This window comes from Homo sapiens, chromosome 5, assembly GCF_000001405.40.
Source record: "Homo sapiens chromosome 5, GRCh38.p14 Primary Assembly".
Classification (NCBI taxonomy): Eukaryota; Metazoa; Chordata; class Mammalia; order Primates; family Hominidae; genus Homo; species Homo sapiens.
Genome location: NC_000005.10, coordinates 72,093,740 through 72,114,859, shown reverse-complemented (window position 1 = coordinate 72,114,859; position 21,120 = coordinate 72,093,740). Strand labels below are relative to the sequence as shown.

The following is a 21,120-nucleotide window of genomic DNA, read 5'->3' as shown; positions in this document are numbered from 1 at the left end:
AGGCTGAAAGGAATATCCAGGGTGAGAGGAACAGGAGGGCAAGAGGCGGGATGAGGGCAGCTTCCTGTGCTCATGCCCTACTCTCTAGCCTCTTCCTTCCTCCTCCCACTGTCCTCTTTCTCCTGCCCTCCCAAAGGGGATGGCCCAGAGGGAACCCCAGAGAGCATCATAGAAGGGAGGTCTGGAGAGTAAGCCAGGGAAAGTTGGGGAACCCCAGAACTCTGGTGTGTGTGTGTGTTTTACATGTTTACATATTATATATTACATTTTTCCTAATAGGTTGCTCATGGTGGAGCCAGTGTGTGGTATCCATCATTGTACCTTTGTATACAGCATTCTCAATTGCCAGGAACAAATCTCTAGAACAACAGACATTTATTGCATACCTCCTAAAGGTAAGGGCTTGAACCTCTAGGTATAACACAGCAGGTGAACTATCTCTAAATTAACACCCAGTCATGTAATCATTTTTGTTGGACATTAGTCATGTATACAGACTTGAAGGAATAAATAGCAGTGTGTTACTTAAATACACACTGGATCCTTAAGGCATATTTGTATTTACCCTTGGTTATATTGTATTCAGTCTTCCTATCCTGTAAAGAATCAAGGTGGATTATACATAGACATTACAAAAAAAAAAGATTCTGGAAACTCAGTTCACTGCACATCTAAAATATCTTTAGATTACACACCACAGACCTTTTCAACCAGGAGGAATATTTTCAAATAGATGTGTGTCCACTAAATACAGGCAGAAATTTCTCATATGATCAATGGGAAGAATTCAGATGTGGAAGAGTTAACGTGCTTAAGGAAAGGTCAAATTATAAGGGAGAATTTTATGGCTCTTCCTGGAAACATTAATAGCCTCAGTTTGCATTTGTGCTAATGGAGTATTTGAATTTTAACAAGAAAGGCATGTTGAGATTTCGCAGATCTTTTTAGTGCAGAAATGATAAATGGGTTCTTTTTGTTTCACAGAGAGCTTGACAGGTTGAGAGGTCTGAATTCATTAGAATATTTTACTTCAATGTATACACTATATACTAGTCTAGTGCAAAAAAATCGAGTTCCTGTCTGAGCTGCTTAATTGGTATTGTTGACTGAATTCTCCTTGTTCCAGGTCTGAGCTCTACTTTGTCTTCTACCCTGTCAAGCTGGGTCAATAAGTTAATAATGAGACATATGCATTTAAATTAAATTCATACAATTTTTCTGTCTTTGTTCTAAGTAATGTCTAAATTGGTACATTATTTGAATGACTTCATCCAGGGTTATCTGCAGACTTGCTCTTACATTGTTACTTGCCATTTTCCCTTGGCTTCAGTTAACTTGTCATGGCACACACAATTAAATGTTTGCTTTATATTTTCATACATATTTTATTTTTGACATATTTGTAATTTAGCAATAGAAAAAGTACTAAATGATAAATCCACTTAGTAATTTCTAAATTATACTAGTAAACGGCTGATAAAAATATTTCTCATTTTTACACTCCCAATGAAACTAAAAATGTAGGGTTCTTTTTTCAAGAGAGCAATTTCCACCCAAATTGTTTCTTAGCAATGCACAACCACTACTACCACTTATAAAATAAAGGTTATGTTGGATTTGCCAGCTATTTTAGTTGGAAAGGAAAATTTTGGAATCAGGCCACTTTCCATACCAATTTTAGAAATAAAATAATTTGTAATTACTTTGTATCTCCTGCTGGATAATATTGGTAAAGGCAAAGAGTAGTTGTTAATGAAGGTTCATATTGCATTTAGTAGGTTTATGTAGTTCCCCTTTGTGCCTAACAAGGAGCCAACAGTGAGCCCTCTAAAGTTTACAGGACAGAAAAATATCTCTTTGGCCCTTCCCATATTCTCCCCTCTCTGAATCTGGCTGGAGGGCATCCTGGGGTGTTGGTGAAGAGGTTCTAAAGAGGCTTTCAGAAGCAAGTCATCCTGGTCTCTGTTGGGGAGCAGGGAAGCCCTCTTTCTAATTTTCACCCCAATATACACCAAGTCAAGCTCTTCCTGGAGGCTTTGTTTCCCCAGCATTCTAAGACTGTACCCCTTCTGGGCTTACCCAGGTGGGGGCAGAATAACTCCAGGCAGTTGGAGGCAGTGAACCCCATTCTTTCAATGTCTGGAGCCAAAAGGCATCCGTCATCTCTGAGAACAATCTGGGCCTGCTCTGTGGCTATTGCCCAGCCCTGAAAGTGAGCTCCTTGGGACCAGGGAGCAACAAAAGATCTTTCCTTCTCAGTTCTCTGACCCCAGGTGGTAGCAGTGCACACAAGGGAGGCTGACATGCACATGATATACACAGATGAGAAAAGGAGAAAAGAATAGGTTATGGGGCAGGGAGGCAGGGAGGGGTCATTAAAGAACAAGTCAGGGTGAAAAATGAGGAGAAGTCAGGTACTCTTGGTGTGTACAGGCTAGATTGTTCCAAGTTTTCCAATCATGTAAGCATTTTGCAGGGTTGTTTAATGAAACCAACAATTTAAAAAAGCACCTCCCATTTAAAAGCTAAAATTCATATTTCTAAAGGTGACAGTGGATTGAAGAAAGCAAAATGAAATGACCATGCATTGTATGTTGATGGCACATGGGTTCTATCTGACAGTTATTTGGGCCTTTGGCAAGTTGATTTTCCTTTATGGGCTTTAGTTGCTCCCTCTGAAAAACAGGCTTTTGGATATTTTTTCCAAGTACCTAAATCATTAACCTAGAATCATAAGATTATATTTGTAAAACTATGCTAAAAAGTGGTCTGAAATCAGATTGAAATCATAAACTAAATAAATGAACTAAAGGAAATGCTACATTTAGGAATGCTTTATTTCTCAGAGGAAAAAATTCTTATTTTTTCCCTTGAACTCATCTTTAATTTGCTTTTTTTCTTTTTTTAAAGCCAGCAACTTGATGTTCATAACATATGTATGTAATGACGATAATATCTTACATACAGAGCTCATAGTTTCAAAGCATTGATAATAAATAATTTAGGTCTGAGATAACATCTTACAACACAAGCAAATGAGAAGTGACATAATTATTTGCTTGTCTAAAAAGTTATAACTTATTTTTTTAAAGTAAGCCCTTAGAGAAGGTGAACAATTTAATGACCTTAAATTTGGGGACTGCCTTGTGTTTCAGCATGGATCACAGAGCTGTCGTAGATAATACCAATTAAGCAGTGCAAGCAGAAATCCATCTGTCTTCGACTTTGAAAAGTATAGGCAAATATAGTAAATTTAAGACTCTCTAACATTTAATTCTCACCACATATGGTATTGGTTTCTTATTTCCCCTGTTAAAAGAAAAGGAAAACTAAACCCCAAATCTTTCCTGGGTTTTAAATTCTCTTACCATCTTAGACTGAAGGACATTCAGTTAAGTGACATCAGAATGTAACAATGTAATCAGCTAAACTTTTATCTAAAAATGCAGAGCAGTAGATGTTACATTCATCTATCTTTTCACCAACAAATCTTGCTGATTCCCAGTGTTAACTAAAGGAAAAGTTATAATCTAACGGTAATTGAAAACATCCAACAGACACTTAATATTCTTTATATGTTTTAGTTCCTTAAAAAAAAAATGAAACAATGAAAACGTTCACAAGGCTCTAGAATTCAGTTTGCAAGACACGGATGTATGTCCTCTATGTATTAAAATAAAACCAAGAAGCAGGGTTTTGCTGAAAATGAGAACCACTAGCTAAATCCATGCTGGGGGCTAATTAGGGAGGAGAAAAAGGAGGTGCCAAAGAGTAGTAGTTGGTGGTAGCGAAAACGATTTGGAATAAAGTCCTGCATAACTAAATAAATGAAGCTAGCCTAGTCCGAGGAAACACTATTGTTCCAAACTCTGGAGGAGACATGTCCAAAGCTTTCATTATGCTTTCCGAATATAGTTGAGAAAGCAAGAGGGACCATCTCTCTTCCCTGGTTTCAAGAGGCATTTACGAAGCATCCACATTGGGACGTTCCAGGCCTGTTGATTTACTGCATTACCACCATGTCTCTACAGATTTATAGATTATTTTCTAGGCTTCCCAGAGAGCCCTCAGTAATCGGATGGCAAGAATCCAAGTCGCCAGGGTCTCCAAACCCAGAATCTCAGTTAAGGCAGGAGGGGAAATAGGAAGAAAGAGTAACAGATGCGGAACTGCCTTCCCAGCCTGCAACACACAATCATCAGAGCTGGCCCCCCTGGAGCAGCTCCATCTTGCTTCACACAACAAGGCCCAAAGGCACCAAGCAACAACAGCAGTGGCCTCTGGAGGAGGCCCAGCTGAGACCTGGCGGCTGAAGCAGCAGCTTGTCGTGCACAGGAAAACAGGACCAGCCTGCTCTGTTGCTAAGTCATCTCAGACTGTCTGAAAAGCTATGGGAGCAGGATTTTCACTTAGCGCTGGAAGGGCCTGCATCTTGAGCTGCAGCCAAGACCCCAGAACCCAGGAGAGCCATCTTCAGAGGAAAAGCAGCATCTGCTACGGTGTGTAAAGAAACGGCTCTGCTCACTCACTTGGTTGATTCTTAATGGGATCAATACAGTCATTTCGGAGTTCCATGCAAAAACCTGACCAAATTAGGGAATTAAAAAATCAGGAAGCCATGATGTCTATTGCAAAGGGAACACAAGGGGGCTTCTGGGGTTCCAGTAATGTCTGTTTCTTGATCTGGGTAACCCAGGCGTGTCCGTTTTGTGAAAATTCGTTGAGCTGCTCATCTTTGATTTGTGCCCTTTCCTCTCTATATAATACTTCAACCGAATTTTTTAAAAAATTAATGTCAAGAAGACAAATCTGAATTTTGTCACTAAGTGCTAGTAGTGTAAAAACGAGTAAAGGCAGGGAGCCCTTCTTCATAGCAGTACGTGGATGCGTCTGTTTTCTCCATAAATAGATGCAGCTTGTATAAACCCTCTGAGGAATAGGGCGCTGAAAGGATGATCAGATGAGTAACAAAGCAGGAAGATAATTACGATCCGAAGGTGATTGCTGAACCATCTCCCAGCATGGGGCGCTGCCCACAAGTGGATGGCCATACAAAGGCAAGCCCTGAAAACTGTTGTACTGAAACCTTCCTCCCATCATAGGATGTTAGCCAACCCTGCACTAACATCATGACAGGGTCAGAAAACGAGTGACGCTGCAGTACTGGTACTTCTGTCACTTATGAGTGCTGTGACCTTGAGCCGGTTCTCTTACCCTTCCTGCCTCTCTGGGCCCCCAGCTCTAAAACGGGGTTGATGATCCCTCTCCTAGCACCACCACATCGAATGGTTATGAAGATTTTGTAGATAGAAAAGCACCTCCTAATATATTCCTATTTCCCAGAAATGCTACTTACAAATAATTTTTTAAAGAAAAAAATCCAAAGTCATTGATTCCCACAATAGCCACACCCAAAGTCAGTATGTGTAAAATTTTTCCAGGAGAAAATTGTGCAAATAAACTAAATTAGAACAGATTAGACCAAAGGCCTATATAGTCTGAAAATGAAGGGTTATTGAGATGCTCAAATAAGACATTTCACTACTGAAATATCTCTTGTTCTTGAATTTTTTGGAATAAAATACTATGACTTTCTGCTCACATTTTTTTTCTTTTTTTTTTTTAAGCTAAAAGGGAAAATCAAGTGCTTTAAAGTTAAACAAAAGAACCAGGTCTGCAACTCCAGTCCCCACCCTGCAGCCTTTTGTTCTGGGGACAAGTGGCCGTTTCCAACTGCAGAGGCAGATGACAAGCATTTATTTTTTCATCTAAAACAAGGTTTTTCTTTCGTCTTTTATTGGGGAGGGGGAGTGGGGAACGAGGGCTGCGTGAACGCCCTTTGTCCGCCTCGGGCTGCCGTAGAGACCGCAGTGCGGACTGCACCACGCCCACCAACCGGTGTCTCCCGGAGAAACGCTTCAGCACCACCCCAGGAGAATAGAGCGCGGGCTGGGGCTGCGGAGGGACCCGGCGACCTCTGTCAGGAGCGAGGGGAGGGCCGGGACGCCAGGGATAAAGGGAAAGGCAGAGACCAGAGCTGCCCACCCAGGGACTCCCAGGGCAACAAAGCCAGGCAAACTGAGAGGTGGGGGCGCGCGGCCCCCGCCAGCCCGAGGCCCGGGCGGAGCGCAAGCCCAGCCAGCCGTGCCCGACGGGGGCGCCGCAGTGTGGGGGGGCAGGTGTGGCGGGCGGTCCGGAGGCACTGCGGCAGCTCGGGTGGGGCTGGGGGCGGTCTCTCTGTGCGCCCGAGGCTGTGCCCGCCGGACCCTCACGGCCCCGCCCAGGGTCCCCGGCGTACCGCTATTCGGCCTCCGCAGAGCGCGCCACTGGTGCGAGCACCGGGCGAGGAGCTGACCCTACCCGCTGACGTCTCCCTCACCGACCCCCTTCAAGCTACCACTCCCGAGGCTGGGACTTCTAAAAGCAGCAGCCCCACCCCGCAACTTGGGGTCCCATTGTCCTTTCTGAGAGCTGCAGCCAAGGCCCCAAGGGCGGTAGCGAGGCGGGCTCTGTCTGGTGGCGAAGCGCAGGCGGTTCTGCATCCCAGCATCTCCCCGGGGAGGGGGGGGCGGGGGGAGCGGGCGTGGCCCTAGGACTAGCCTAGTCATTCTGAGGAAAGAAAGGATCGGGAGGTTTGAAATCAGAAAAGGCGTTTCTCAGGGGCTGAGGTAGCCGTGGTGAGGATGAATCCCACGCGGGCCCTGGCACATGGGCTTCGGCCCCAGGTCTGCGGTGGTGGGGGTCCCAGCCTTTTCCTGAGGCCAGAAGAGGACTGAAAGGAGTGGTTGCATCAGGTCTCCCCCACCCTTCTGCCTCCTGCGGTTGCGGCTTTATTGTGGCCTCTGCTCCCCTGACACCTGCATTTCACTTAGCGGGAGAGGCGGTGGCCAACTCAGCACAGGCTGCGGACTCAGCGTGGTGACAGATCCCTCAAGGTTATTGGAGACTCTCCCTCTGGGTCTCATATCTAATAATTCGGATTATTCTTAATTAGCCCAGAAAGGGTCTGGACCAAGTATGAGAGGTGACGAGGAGAGGCATGGGTGCGGGGCGCGCGGGAGGAGCGCAGTGACCGTCGCGCCCTGGGTGGGGTCGTGTTTGCGCGTCTCCCAGCGCGCGTCTCTGGGGGCGCGGGGCCACTTACCGAGCTCGATGTTGCCGATGGCACGCCGCAGGTGCTCCTCGGTCACGATCTCGCCGACGACCACCAGCAAGTAGAACTTGCTGTCAAGGAAGCGGTGCGACAGGCTAGGCGAGGTGGACGCCGCCGGGTTGGCGATGCTGCCGGACGGCTCCGGCTCGGTGGCTTCCACCACCACGGTCGCCATCCTGCCGGCTGCTGTGCCTCGGCGAAGTGTCTCGCTCCGGCCGCTCCTCTCCACTGCGGCAGGAGAAAGGATTATCTCCGAAGGTACTGTCTCCGCTCCGCCCCCTGCGTCCCCCCTCCTCTGGCGCCGCGCGCCGCCTCCCCCTCCGCCCTCTCCCAGCGCCGCGGAGAGTGCGCGGCGGAGAGGAGCGGGGAGTGAGAGAGGGCGGGGAGGCGGCGCCGCTTTTATATGGAGACTAGGCAGGGAGCCGGGAGGAGGAGGAAGAGGAGGAGGAAAGGACCACCCGGCACATCCTCACGCGGTGGCTGCCTCCGCTCTTCCAGCCGTTGGCCCGGGGCTGATGTCATCTGCAGCAAATCATCTCGCCCGCGGCCCGGAAGCTGGAGGGACGAGGTGTGCGGACAATGGTCGGGGCAGGGCCGCGAGCCAAGGGGCTGGGGCGCCCGCTGAGCTCCTGCTGCAGCCGTGAAGGGGGAAGACGCTCTCAACCTACACCACCCACCACGTACACACCCACTGCCCACTCCTCACCCTCACCCTGTCTGTGCATGGGAATGGGATGAGTTTCCATTTTCGGAGTGGGGGTCTTTTCTCTTGTTGGAGTTGCACTAGTCAGGCCTCTGCCTTGTGTGCTGTGTATGATGTAGCCAGGTTCTCAGGAACTGGGATAGCCACAGTGGGCAGATGCGGGGCTGTGGGTACCCCGCCTAGGAAGACGGAACCTGTCTTTTCTTTGACCTTGTGGCTTTAAGAAGACGAATTTACTGATATTTACCAATATCAATATTTACCACCTTCACTTAAAGAATACATCAAAAATGCAAAACTTAAGCCTACTATTGTTCAGGCCTTGGATTCTACTCTGGCAGGGCCAAGGATGAAAAAGTACTGGCTTTGTGGTGCTCATGGGAAATGAGAGAAATGCAGATGTATTATATTAGATACCAATTTCTTTCCTTAATGTGCTGAACAGATAGTATCAGTAATAACAAAGAATAAAGAGAAGATACTGTCTCTACTCAGCAGGGTTACAGTGACTATAATGTACTTTTCAGTTCCTTGGGGAACACACAAGCAAAATTACCTCGTGACAATGATGTCTTTTAAAATACCTGTAGCATTGGGAATTTTTATTGCCTTTGTTTGTGTTTAGAAGAACTAAAAAATGTGTTTTTTGTTTTTGTTTTTTTGTTTTTTTTTTTAAGGCAGCCTATTTACAACCGTTTCTCACAAACATACTGAATATAGCTTCTGTCCCAGAAAAGGGGAGGAGGGTGAGGAAAGAGCAAAATGTGCAAACATGGTATCATAGAAGACTGGGGAATTCGAGCTTTAAGGAAGAGGAATAGATGGAAATTAGTCAACATAGCTTTAATACTAGAATGCCTGTTAGTAAAATATAGATGATAGATAGATAGATAGATAGATAGATAGATAGATAGATAGATAATCACCTAGATATTCTTAAGATTTCCAAAATAACCCAGTGTCTTAGGTGTTAGCTGCCATGACTTATTGGTCATGTACTCTTTGCTCTTATATCTTTCCTGACACCCTGGCATGGGAGACATGCTGGGCAGCCAAGGGCTGGGGGGTTCCATCCAACATGTCAATCTGATCAATGCAGAATGAAAATACCGTCTGGCCCGCAGTATTTGGGATCTGTGACAGGATCACTAGAGAGTTGCATTCACCAGTAATTAGATGAAGTGTTTCCAACTAGCTGCATTCACCAGTAACTAGATGAAGTGTTTCCAGATAATATTTTGGTTAAGATATTCAATTGCTGTTCAAGAAGTAAGGCCAGCACCAAAGCCCATAACTGGGGTGAGGGGCAGGAAATATGGTGAAGAGCACTGTTTTCTAAAGGTCATCCGTTGGATTCCAGCCTCATCTAGTTTGTGTTTGGTTTTCCTTTCTTTGAACCATTGTTACTTTTATGTATGTAATAGTTTTCTTTTATGCAGTTTATTTCTTTTACTTAAATTTATTTTTAAATGCAATTCTATGTTGCTGTATAAATGGAAACACTAATATCACTTATTAATAGAAAGTATCCCTAAAAATATACACAATGAAGATAAGATGTGATCAAATTCCTGCTACATACTGTTATGATTTGCTCAAGACTCTGAGTCCAAGGCTCTCCTTTCTTGGTTGAAAACAGAGATTGGCCAAGTGTTAGAGAGGTATTAAAGAGATACTAACACCTAACTGAGTTGTTCTCCATGTTGCAACAGAAGATTGGATGAAAATTATAACAGAGCGCTTTCTTACTGTGTGTGTCTGTGCAATTAAACACCATGACCGTGACCACCTAAGTCATCACCCACACTTTGAAAAATAGAGGCATAATGGGAGAACACAGACTAGGGATGCAGAATACTACTTTACAGCTCGGTAACTTTGGCAAGTGACTTACTCTTTTTGATCTTCCATCTCCTTATTTAATGAGAAGAAGAACATCTTTATAACTGTTAAAGTAACTGTAAGAAAGAAGGAAATGATAGAATGTGTAAGCACCTAATACAGTGGCTGGGCATAGTAAGCAATCAAGGGATGGTTGATTCATTGACCTGTTTTCTCCCAGTTACTAAGACAATGGAGCAAAAGCAGTCTTATAAAATGTGCAAGTGATACTGCTACAACACCTCTGAAACAAGAACAGAATATTACATTATTATACTTCAATACTAGAAAAGTAGCCCCTTCCCCTCTTCATCCCAAGAAAATGTATACAGTTCTAAGGAGGAAAAAGGGGGAAAACTAACATATAAGAGCACCAATATTGCCAGCTGCTCAACTGACATCACCTGGATATACCAAAGGCACCAGAATCTTGACATGCTCCAAACCCAAATCATCTTTTACCTCTAAACGGGATCCTCTCTCATTCTTGTTATTTCAATGAACCATAACACCATGTATCCCATGATGCAAACCAAAACCTCACAAATATTTTGGACTCTCCCCTGACCCTTAGCCTCGTGTGCAATCCAGCATGGAGTCTGGTCAATTTCACCTTCAGTATCTCTTCAATCCATCCACGTTTCTCCATTATCACCAACCTAGTCCAAGCTAGCATCATTGTGATAGGTACTAGTGTACCGGTTAGAAAATGGGTTCTGGAGTCAGACTGCCTGGTTTTGAATCCTAATACCATAATTTATTAGCTGTGTGGCCTTAAGCAAGGTGCTTAACCACTCTATACCTTGGTTTTCTCATTTGTATAGTAGAGATGAGTACCGACCTCATGGACAGGAGGACAGTTTAAATATGCAAATTACTTAAAACAGTGCCTTGCATATAATGAGCACTTAATAGGGATTAGTTGTTTTTGGTATGGGGTTAGTTGTTTTTGGCTGTTATTGTTTAACATTTTACTATGGAAAATTTCAAACAGAGAGAGTATAATGTAAGTAACACCCACATACCCATTATCCCCAATCCATAGATTTTTATAGTTTGCTTCTTTAAATCAAGATTGAAATAATGTCTATATATTTCAACTGATTCATCAGTCTTAAACTCCTTTGATCTATGTAATCCTGCTATTTTTTTCCTTGTAATTTTCTGTTGAATAGTGGCAACATTGTTCAGCAGAGTTTCACAAAGCATAAATTTTGCCGATTGCATCACCTGTTGTGTTATTTAACATGTTCTTCTATCTTCTGAATTTTCTGAGAGAACTAAAGTCTTGATCAGATGCAGATTTGATATTTTTTACATGTATACTTCATAGGTAATATTGTGATCTTCCATCAGAAGGCACCTAAAGACTAGTTAACCCTCATTCTGTGATTTTAGCAGCTATTGATGATCATTACCTAGATCCATTATTTCACTATGGATTGAAAAAATGATAATATTCTAATTTTGTTATTATTTATTTGACAGCTAGAAGACTTCTGTTAGGAGAAGCGTTATCCTGTCAGTTGATTACCCTGAGGTACGGTATGTACAGGAAAAGAAGGATAAACAAATGATTTTTTCTCTTTATTTACTGATTTTCAAAATAATTAATTTATTCCAAATCATTCTCTAAAGGTGACTAATTTTTTGTATCATTACAAATATAACTTACATTATTCATATTGATGCTTTCATTTTTTCATCTTTGGCCAGTAGTATGGTAAGGTATCCCTAGCTTACCTTGCACATATCTGGCCTCAGAACCTGGAATGAGCCGTTTCTCTATGGAATCCAAGTTCCTTACGTGGGTAATGGTATTTGGAGACCCCTGTATACCAGGTGCTACTACTATTTTGATCATTGTTTCTAGATATTTTCAGTGGACAGAAATATGAAATAAATTGTTTTTCAAGTATGAGTTCATACTTATACCTCTAACTCAGAATCGGGACTACAGGGATTTTGCCTAACGTTTTATCTTGCATCTGTATTTCCTTTGTCCTATGCCTAGAATTCCAGTTTTCAAAGACTCCAAGGTGACAGAATTAGAACAGCAGATAGTTTCTCATTTTTCTTGTTCCACAATATATACAAATTACCCTCATGGTAGTTTTAGATACGAATGCAACACTTTTGCCAACAATGTGATTACTAAAAACATTTTAAGGTATATAGTTTTTTTGTTTGTTTGTTTGTTTGGTTGGTTGGTTGTTTTTTTTGTTTTTGTTTTTTTTTTTTTTTTTTTTTTGAGACCGATTCTCACTCTTGTTGCCCAGGCTGGAGTGCAGTGGCGCCATCTCGGCTCACTGCAACCTCTGCCTCCCAGGTTCAAGCGATTCTCCTGCCTCAGCCTTCTCAGTAGCTGGGATTACAGGCACCCACCACCATGCCTGGCTAATTTTTGTACCTTTAGTAGAGATGGGGTTTCGCCATGTTGGCCAGGCTGGTCTCAAACTCCTGACCTCAGATGATCTGCCCGCCTCAGCCTACCAAAGTGCTGGGATTATAGGTGTGAGCCACCGTGCCCAGCCTAAGCTATATAGTTTTAAAGTGTAATTAATTCTGTTATATATGATCGTGCCACTAACTCAGTGCATAGTTATGTTCATTTGTTTCATTTTGTTTTCAGTTTTTATGAATTGATTTTTACAATTTAATTTTGCTTTATAGTAATGTAAAATATTTACATGGTTCCAAGGTGAAATCTACAAAACAATTTGTATTTGGAGAACTTTAGCCTCTATCCCTGTCCCCTCCAGCTTTCTCCCTGTCTCTTCCTGTGAGTAACAATTTTTTACCTTGATTTAGCCTTTCACTTTAAAAATGCAAGTAGCAGCATATACATACAATTTTCTCCACTTTGCTTATTTCATCAAACACTATATCCCGGCTATAACGCTACAATAATATATGTTAATATTCCTCATTTTTATTTATAGCTGCATAGTAACCCATTATGTTTATTTACTATAATTTACTCAACCAGTCCATTGTTGGTGAACATTTGAGCTATTTCCAGTTTAATTTATATTGTAAACAGTAGGTCTAGCTATTTTTTTTTCCCATGCAACCTCAATAGTCACCTTACTGGCATCTGTATATCCACAATGACTCACCCAATCCATGCTTCACACAATATGGAGAATGATCTTTTCTGATCTGGTTTTGTTGCCCCATCTCCACTTAAAACACAAATGGCTCCCCATTTTAGAATAAAGACCAGACTTCTCAGTGTCACCTACAAGCTGGTCCCCATTTATCTCAGCAGCTTCATCTGGCCCCTCCACTTGCCCTTACTTTCCAGCATCAGCCACAATGACTTTGTGCCAAACCATCCTTCCCTCCAACACAGGCTTTCCCTTGCTTTTCCTCCTGATGAGAGCACTACTTTTGTCCATTTTCTGTTGCTGTAACAGATTACCACAGACTGGGTAATTTATAAAGAAAAGACTAGTTGAACTCTATGCTCCACAGGAGCAAAGAACATGTCTATCCCCACCCCCACACACCCTTTTCACACCCACCCAGCCACCCATATACCTTAGCATTCCTCTTGCTCAGCATAGGGCATATGCTCAGTCAAAGCATATTCAATGACTAAATGAATGGCTTCTATGAGCCATGGTAGTGTGCTAGGTGCTTAAAGTACTTCAGTGAATTCCCACTGGTATTATTTATATTTTTGATGGCTTAAAGTCTGTATTGATGTCTCTTTCTCATTTCTGATCTCGATAATTTGTATTTTCTTTGTTTTTTTCTTGATCAGTCCAGCTAGGGGTTTATCAATTTTGTTAATCTTTACAAAAACCTACATTTGACATTATTGATAGTTTTCTATTTTATGTATGTGTATATATATTTTCATTGAAGCTGTTTTTATCCATGCTGTTTTGCTCCTAATTTCTTTGGGTTTTATCTTACTTCCTATTGTAGCTGCTTGAGAAGCTTAAGTAATTAATTGTCAGTTTTCCTTCTTTTCTGATAAATACATTTAAGGCTAAATATTTCTAACTCCTGCTTTAGCTGCCCTGTACACATTTTGATGTGTTGTGTCTTTATTGTCATTATCATTCATTTCATAACATTTTCTAATGTCATTGTGATTTCTTTTTTGCCATTAGTTATTATTATTGCTGTTTGACAGATGAAAAACTGACATGGAGAAAAGTTAGACAATTCCTCCAAATCACAAAGATAGTAAGTTGAAAACTTGTGAAAAGAACTCTGCTATGTCATATTTCAAAGTCTATGACCTCCCCTATATGGTACCTTCACTGATGCTATTGAATTTAAAGCAAATAAAGGAAATGAAGCACAGCCCAAGTGTTGATTGGTGGGAAGAATAAAACAGTCAGAGTAAATCTCACATTGAATGAACCTCCAGTGTTGTGTTGTTAGTTAGAATTAAAGTCATTCTCTAGAGTGTAACTTAAGACAGTATGTCATTTAAGGGTCAAGAAATAGTCTGTTTACTCAGCATTTATCAGTCCTTTCTTTCCAAACTTTAAGCTAGCTATAGAAAAATTCCAGAGAGCCTGGGGAAAGAAACAAAAGGAAAATTAGGGAAAAGACTTACAAGGTATGAAGTATTAGAGAACATTTTAAAAGGATAATCTATACGCTATGTCATTGATGGCTGCAGCCATTCTCTATGCCCATAAACTAAATGGGCCTAACTCTTAACAGTGGCTATTAGGTTAGTTAGAAGAGGCATGTTTCTGAAAATTCCATAGTGAACTTCATAGCCAGAGGAAAATATCTTATACTTCTTTCTATTCAATCATCCTTGACTCCGAAAGTGCCTCTTATTTTCTTTTGGTGGAACAGTGGAAAAAAAATATCACACTGGAAGGCCAATTGACTGAAATCAAGTCCCTTTTCCTAACTGTGTGAACTGGGTCCTTCACATCACTATCCTTCAACAACAAGAAAAACAAAAAACATCCTATAAATGTATAAAGAAGAAAATGAAAGTTCTTTCTTTGCTACCCCTAGTTCTCTTCCCCTTCCTAGAGGCTAAACTATTTTGTGTGCATGTGTGTGTGTGTGTAGAATGTACACATATATGTAGGGGATTGGTTCTAGGACTCTGTCCCCTGTGAATACCAAAATTCAGGGACGCCTAAGTTCCTTATATAAAATGATGCTTATAACCTACGCACATCCTCCTGTATACTTTAAATAATCTTGATTACTTATAATATCTAAAACAGTGTAAATGCTATGTAAATAGTTGTTATACTGTATTGTTTAGGAAATAATGACAAGAAAAAAGTCTGCACATGGTCAGAACAGATTCAACCATTCTTTTTTTATATATTTTTTTCTGAATAATTACAATCCATGGTTTGTTGAATCCACAGATGCAGAACTGGTGGATATGGAGGGCTGACTGTATACATGTATCTTCCCCATATAAATAGAACAATATTTTATATACTGTTCTTCAAATGGCATTTTCCCTTTGAAGCTCTTTTCAAATATGTAAAAATCTATTTTTAAAAACTGCTGCACAGTAGCTCATAGAATGAATCTACCATATTTCCTTTACTCTTTCCCCTCTTGGTGGTCCTTTAGGTGGTGTTTGGTTTTTTTCTATTATAAATAGTGTGCAATGACCATGCTTGTAAGTGCTTCTATACTCATATATGTTTCTCTGAGCACAGATGCCTAGATCTAGAAGCCAAACAGATGGGTTGAAGGTGATACCTAATTTTAACATTTGATGACTCCTGCCAAATTACCCTCTGAAAAGAATTTAACAATTTATATTCCTTCCACATCATTGCCTCTTTCCCCACATCATAATGTAAGTCTTCTTATTTTTTACTCACCAAAGGGAGAGAAATATTTACTGTTTAAAACTGAGCACCTTTTAAACTGCTTTTCTTTCTTTATTGGCTTAACTCTTCAAGATGTGTCTTTTTTCTGATTGGACTATTGTTTTTATCTTTACTGGCTTTTAGAAGCTCTTTATATAATCTGGATAATAAGCTTTCGTCATCAATATATGTTGCAGATATTTCCTCTCAGTGTGTCATCAGATTTTGTATTTATGTCTATTTATTATGTCTGTGACCATACAAATTATTAAATTTCTTATAAGGTTAGGCTAAGCTTCTTTCTTTATGAGTTAATGGGGGTTGTCTGTCTTAGAAAGGATCTCTCATTCCAAACCTTAAAACTATTCTCCTAATAATTTTAGATTTGTTCAACTGAGAGAGTGCTTAACTCAGGAGATCAATAAAGGTTCATAGAGGAAGAAGTATTTGAAATTGTCCTGGAAGAACAATATTTTTCAACAGGCAGAGATGGAGAAAGGACAATCTACATGAACAGAACAGCATGAGCAAAAAGAACTGGTAGAAATATATTGAGCTTATTCTTGAAAATAGCTAGCAGTTTACTCCTCCTTTCTTTTGTATACTAACAGCAGCACACTGAACAAACTGTTCTGTCATCTTGTTTTTATCACTTACCATATCTTTGAAATATTTCCATAACCATCATAAGGAGTATCCCTATTGCTTTTTGAGCAATGCATAGAATTCCATTTTGTGTGAATATCATAATTTATCACTCTTCTATTTTTATCACTCCTCTGTTGATGATGACTTCCAGTCTTTTGATAATATAAACAGTGCTGTAGTAAATAAAGTTCTGTATATGTCTTTTCCCACAGGTTAGAGACTATCCATAGGATAAATTTCTAGCAAATTGCTGAGTCCAGGATATGCATGTTTGCAATTTTGGAAGATCTTAAAAACTTGCCTCCTATAGGTGTTGTACCAGTATATACTTCTGCCAGTAATAGATGGGTGGGCTGCTGATGCCTCAAAATGTAAGTATTTTCAAACTTTTAAATTTTAGCCCATTTAACATAATTTAAAAATTATGTCTCTGTGTGATTTTAGTTCCATTTCCCTTATTATATATAAGACTGAACATCTTGGCATATGTTTAAGGGCCATCTGCATTTCCTTTTCTGTGCACTGTCAGCTTATATGCTTTGCCCATTTTTTCTAGTAGATGGTTAGTGTTTTTCTTATTGATTTGTATATATTCTGTATTACTCCTTTATCACATTGCCACAAAGAAATGCCTGAGATGGTGTCATTTATAGAGAAAAGAGGTTTAATTGGCTCACAGTTCCACAGGCTATACAGGAAGCATGGCTGAGGAGGCCTCAGGAAACTTAACAATCATGGCAGAAGGTGAAGGGGAAGCAGGCACATCTACACATGGCCAGAGCAGGAGGAAGAGAGAGAAGGAAGAGGTGCTACACCCTTTTAAGCAACCAGATCTTGTGAGATCTCACTATCGTGAGAATAGCAAGGAGGAAATCTGCCCCCATGATTCAGTCACCTCCTGCCAGACCCCTCCTCCAACATTAGGGATTACAATTCGACACGAGATTGCCGGTGGGACACAAATCCAAACCATATCATATTCTTTATACATTTGGGAAATTAACTTTTTTCTGTAATATGATTTACAAATATTTTTCTCAGATTGGCATTTGTTTTTTGACTTTTCATATTGTGCATTTTGCCATGGGAAGTTTTTTTTGTCATTAAATTTACCTATTCTTTCATTCATATGGCTTCTGGGTCCTATATTATACTTAGACCTTTACCATTCTGAAATTATGTAAGAAAAATTCTCTCAGGGTTTTTTCCTAGTAATTTTAAGACTTTACTTTTAATATTTTGGATTTATCCAGATGTAGACTATAAGATAAGGATCCACATTTTTTCCCCAGCTCTACATTTTGCTGCTAGAAGATTTTACAAAATTTTGCAATTACTTAGTAACTTACATTTCTTCCCAATTGATTTTGAAATCTGTAAGAGCAGAAACTTTGATTTCATATTTTTATTCTCTCACATGCCTGCCCTTTAATGCACTTCAACCCCAGCCCCAAGTTTTGCCTAGTACTTGGCAGTTAGGTAGTTGTTACTTCTGCATCTCTTGACTGCTGGGGAGGAAAGATTCCACCTGAGTTAAGGCAAGTCCTACCCAGGATGTGGCTGCAAATGAGACTGCAAAGTTCTCGACCGATGTCTTTTCATTAAACTCTGGCTTTTACCAAGTACAAGTACCAAGTGAGTCATACCGACACATGTAGAGGATGGCATCCTGAGGGGAAAAGAATTATAGTGGAAATAACCAAGGCTGCTTGGAGAAAAGCTTCTCAGCTGGCACTGCAGAACAGCAGCCACTGCCACAGCAAACAGCAAAACAATAACAAGCTTACTTGCAGAAGGTGGGAAGCTGCAGACGTAAATGCAGGCTCCCTTCCCAGGCTACCAGCAGTCCCTGGGGATGAAGTAGTCTAAATGGGCAGCAGTTGTGGAGTCCTCCCCGCTCACAGGAATGGAAGATGTCACTCACTAGCAGAAGTGCTCTGGGGTGGCAATGAGGAGTACTGTCTTTGGACTCTGACAGGAACATCTGGATGGCACCAGGCTCAGGGAGACGGGTCTTGTGTGTCCTGCTAAGCACTAACAGCAATAATTGAGCAGCAGCAATCTGCCTCACATCATTCTAGGCCCTAGGAGGGCACAAAGTTGGTTCTTGGCTCAGGTTATCAGGAAAGTAACGTATGTGCGTACAAATAAAGTGTCCAACAGCAGAAAGGGATGCCCTGAACAGTCCAGGTTGCACAAAGGAGTATGGACAAACAAGTAGTTTCATCCAGCTGGGAGCACTAGGAAAGCTCAGAAGGAGGATGCCTCCAGGAGCCAGTGAGTGTATTCTGTCACCAGGTGCCTTGGAGAGTGGAGGATCTGGAGGGCACTTTTTGAGGCTGATAGGAAGAAAGCAGACGGGTGGAGTGGTAGATGGAATGACGCCCTCACCCTCTGCAATGTTCACATTCTAATCCCTGAGATATGTGAATATGTTACTCTAGCTGACAAAAGGGACTTTGCAGATGTGATTAAGGATTTTGAGCTGGGGAGGTGACTCTGAATTACATGAATGGGCCCAGTATAATCACAAGGGTCCTTATAATAGGGAGACTGGAGTGTCAGAGTCACAGATGAGCTGTGATGATGGACGCAGTGGTGAGAGAGAGATGTGAAGATGGAAGGAGAGGGCCATGGGCCAAGGAATGTGGGTGGTCTCTAAAAGCTGGAAAAGGCAAGAAAATGGATCCTCCCCTAGAGACTCCAGCAGGAACAAAACCCTGCTGACACCTTGACTGTAGGACTTCCAACCTCCAGAACTATAAAATAATAAATTCATGTTGTTTTAAACCACTAAGATTGTCGTAATTTGTTACAACAGCCATGGGAAATGAGCACAGGTGGATTAGACACTTCAAGAGATGTAATTTCTTTGTGTAATTCTTTCTGGGAAGCTCCATGAAGCCTGACATTTAGTACAGATGTGCCCCAATCCTGCTCCATGTTACGAACTATAATATGGTAGAATTGGGCAGGAACAGACCAAAAGATCGGGGCTGCTGTGAAGCCCCCTGCCTTGGCACTTCTAGTCTTTGTGCTTCTCATTCGCAGCATGGTCAGCATATGCAGCGTTCACCCTCTAAATCAGTAGGAGCTGGGCAAGAGCATCTGAAAACCACTGGGTTTTAAAATAGTGATACAATCGAAGTTGTGCTTTAGGAAACTGGGCAGTTTCTCTCAAATCCCATGGTCAGCAAGTATCTGATTTCCCCTCAGATGGCATTTCAATTTGCCATTTCTGAACGGAGCTTGGTTCTTAAGAATTCTATAGTTGCTTATGGATTAGTTACTGCAGAGATGAAGTCTTTCTATATGTGTGTGAACTTTTAAAAAGTAAAGTCATATACAGATACCAGATGAAAAACAAAGTTTTCAAATTGTGATATCTGGGCACAAAGGGATATTCACTTATTTGGTTGTTCAGACATTCATTCAATCAACACATCTTTAGCAAGCATCTGCCACGTAGCAGATACTGCTGGAGTCGCTGGAGATGCAATGATGAGAAAAACAGACTTGATACCTCCCTTCATAGGCCTTACTCTCCAGGGAGGAAGAAGTGCAGATATGGGAAACCAGAAAAAGTGGAGAAAGGGTATTTTAAACATCTTTTTCCCCAGTTTTATTGAGGTATAAATGACAAATAAAATTTTACATATTCAAGGTATACAATGTGATGGTTTGATATACATATACATTGTGAAATGATTACCACAATCAAATTAATCAATATCTCCAGCCCTACACATAGCTACCATCTGTATGTGTGTATGGTGAGAACTTAACATCCTTTAGAGGAGAATAAAGGAAAGTTCGCTGGCCAAAATGCAGCACAAAAAATTGTGAAGTGGCACAGATTCCATGTGGAATGAGATGGCTCCTCTCTTTTTTTGTTTGTTTGTTTTATTTTGTTTTGTTTGAGACAGAGTCTTGCTGTGTTGCCCAGGCTGGAGTGCAGTGGGTCAATCTTGGCTCACTGCAACCTCTGCCTCCCTGTTCAAGTGATTCTCCTGCCTCAGTCTCCAGAGTAGCTGGAAGTACAAGCACGTGCCACCACACTCGGCTAATTTTTGTATTTTTAGTAGAGATGGGGTTTCACAATGTTGGCGAGGCTAGTCTCGAACTCCTGACCTCAGGTGATCCGCCCGCCTCAGCCTCCCAAAGTGCTGGGATTACAGGCATGAGCCACCACGCCCGGCCTGACATGGCTTCTTGAATACCCCAGAACCACAGTTTCTTCATCCACACTAGGGAGCGAGAATCTGGCCACTCTAGTGGCCATGGCATCAGAAAGATTCCACTGGCAGTACAGTGGAAATAGTACAATACAGCCCAAACAGAAACAGCATGGGATGATAACCAGACTCGTCACAGCCCCCGTGTGCCCAGGATTAGTTCAGCCTTCCCTGTGTGCAGTAGGCCTCAGAAACATCATGTCTCTGAGCTCTCACACTTGTGCACTCCAGAACACAAAACAGGCATGGGAAGGTTATGATGACTGTCACTCACAGAGAGTATCGCAACCTGGAGAAAACATGACAAAACTGTCATTTCTTAACCTTTTAAACCAGATGCCCTCCTGGGGTAAATATAAAAATCTACTTCCTTTTAAGTATATGAAACTTCAAAATATGTTAATCATCATGACTGAAAGCAAACCAAAGTGAAACAAAGGGTAATTGTAAAAGACGGTTTTGGATTTGATCTGGAAAGGTATTTTACTTTCATAATGACAGCAGCATTAAGTAGTGGCACGCAGGGTGGGAGTGTGGAAGAGGGGCTACTGAGGTCCTTGGAACATGAGGGCCCCTGTGCTTGTCTTCCACCCTTGCAAGGTGTCTTCTGAGAGCTTGACACTGTCACTGGTGAACTTATCCCAGTAAGTGATTCTTGACAGCGAGGAAGTTACA

At 41.6% G+C, this 21,120-nt stretch overlaps 1 protein-coding gene and 1 long non-coding RNA gene across 9 annotated transcripts in view, besides 2 other annotated features; one reads left to right on the top strand and one right to left on the bottom strand.

Moving 5' to 3' along the window:
- MAP1B (microtubule associated protein 1B) overlaps window positions 1-7,385 on the bottom strand; it is a 102,091-nt gene extending 94,706 nt beyond the window's left edge. Inside the window, exon 1 of the mRNA NM_005909.5 lies at window positions 7,145-7,385. Coding sequence (NP_005900.2) covers window positions 7,145-7,328 — 184 coding nt within the window. The 5' untranslated portion in view covers window positions 7,329-7,385. The remainder of the gene's footprint in view (window positions 1-7,144) is intronic.
- LOC105379028 (uncharacterized) lies at window positions 1,373-19,003 on the top strand. Of its 8 annotated transcripts, none has more exons than XR_001742727.3 (3): window positions 1,373-6,085; window positions 11,226-11,277; window positions 13,862-19,003. It is a non-coding gene; the product is annotated as an uncharacterized LOC105379028 (long non-coding RNA). The 8 variants fall into 8 exon arrangements; XR_007058813.1 differs by adding an exon at window positions 6,873-6,935 and having other exon boundaries at window positions 11,226-19,003; XR_001742725.3 differs by lacking the exon at window positions 1,373-6,085 and adding an exon at window positions 6,266-6,935.
- Window positions 5,784-6,078: an enhancer, noted in NCBI's record as "tiled region #7919; HepG2 Activating DNase unmatched - State 4:PromP". NCBI's record gives its function as "activates a minimal TATA promoter and a strong SV40 promoter by Sharpr-MPRA in HepG2 cells {active_cell/tissue: HepG2}" and the evidence as "EXISTENCE:reporter gene assay evidence [ECO:0000049][PMID:27701403]".
- Window positions 6,484-7,466: an enhancer, noted in NCBI's record as "H3K27ac hESC enhancer chr5:71403221-71404203 (GRCh37/hg19 assembly coordinates)". NCBI's record gives its function as "activates a minimal SCP1, AML or CMV promoter by ChIP-STARR-seq in naive and primed H9 embryonic stem cells {active_cell/tissue: H9 hESC(naive and primed)}" and the evidence as "EXISTENCE:reporter gene assay evidence [ECO:0000049][PMID:30033119]".
- Window positions 19,004-21,120: the final 2,117 nt, after the last annotated feature.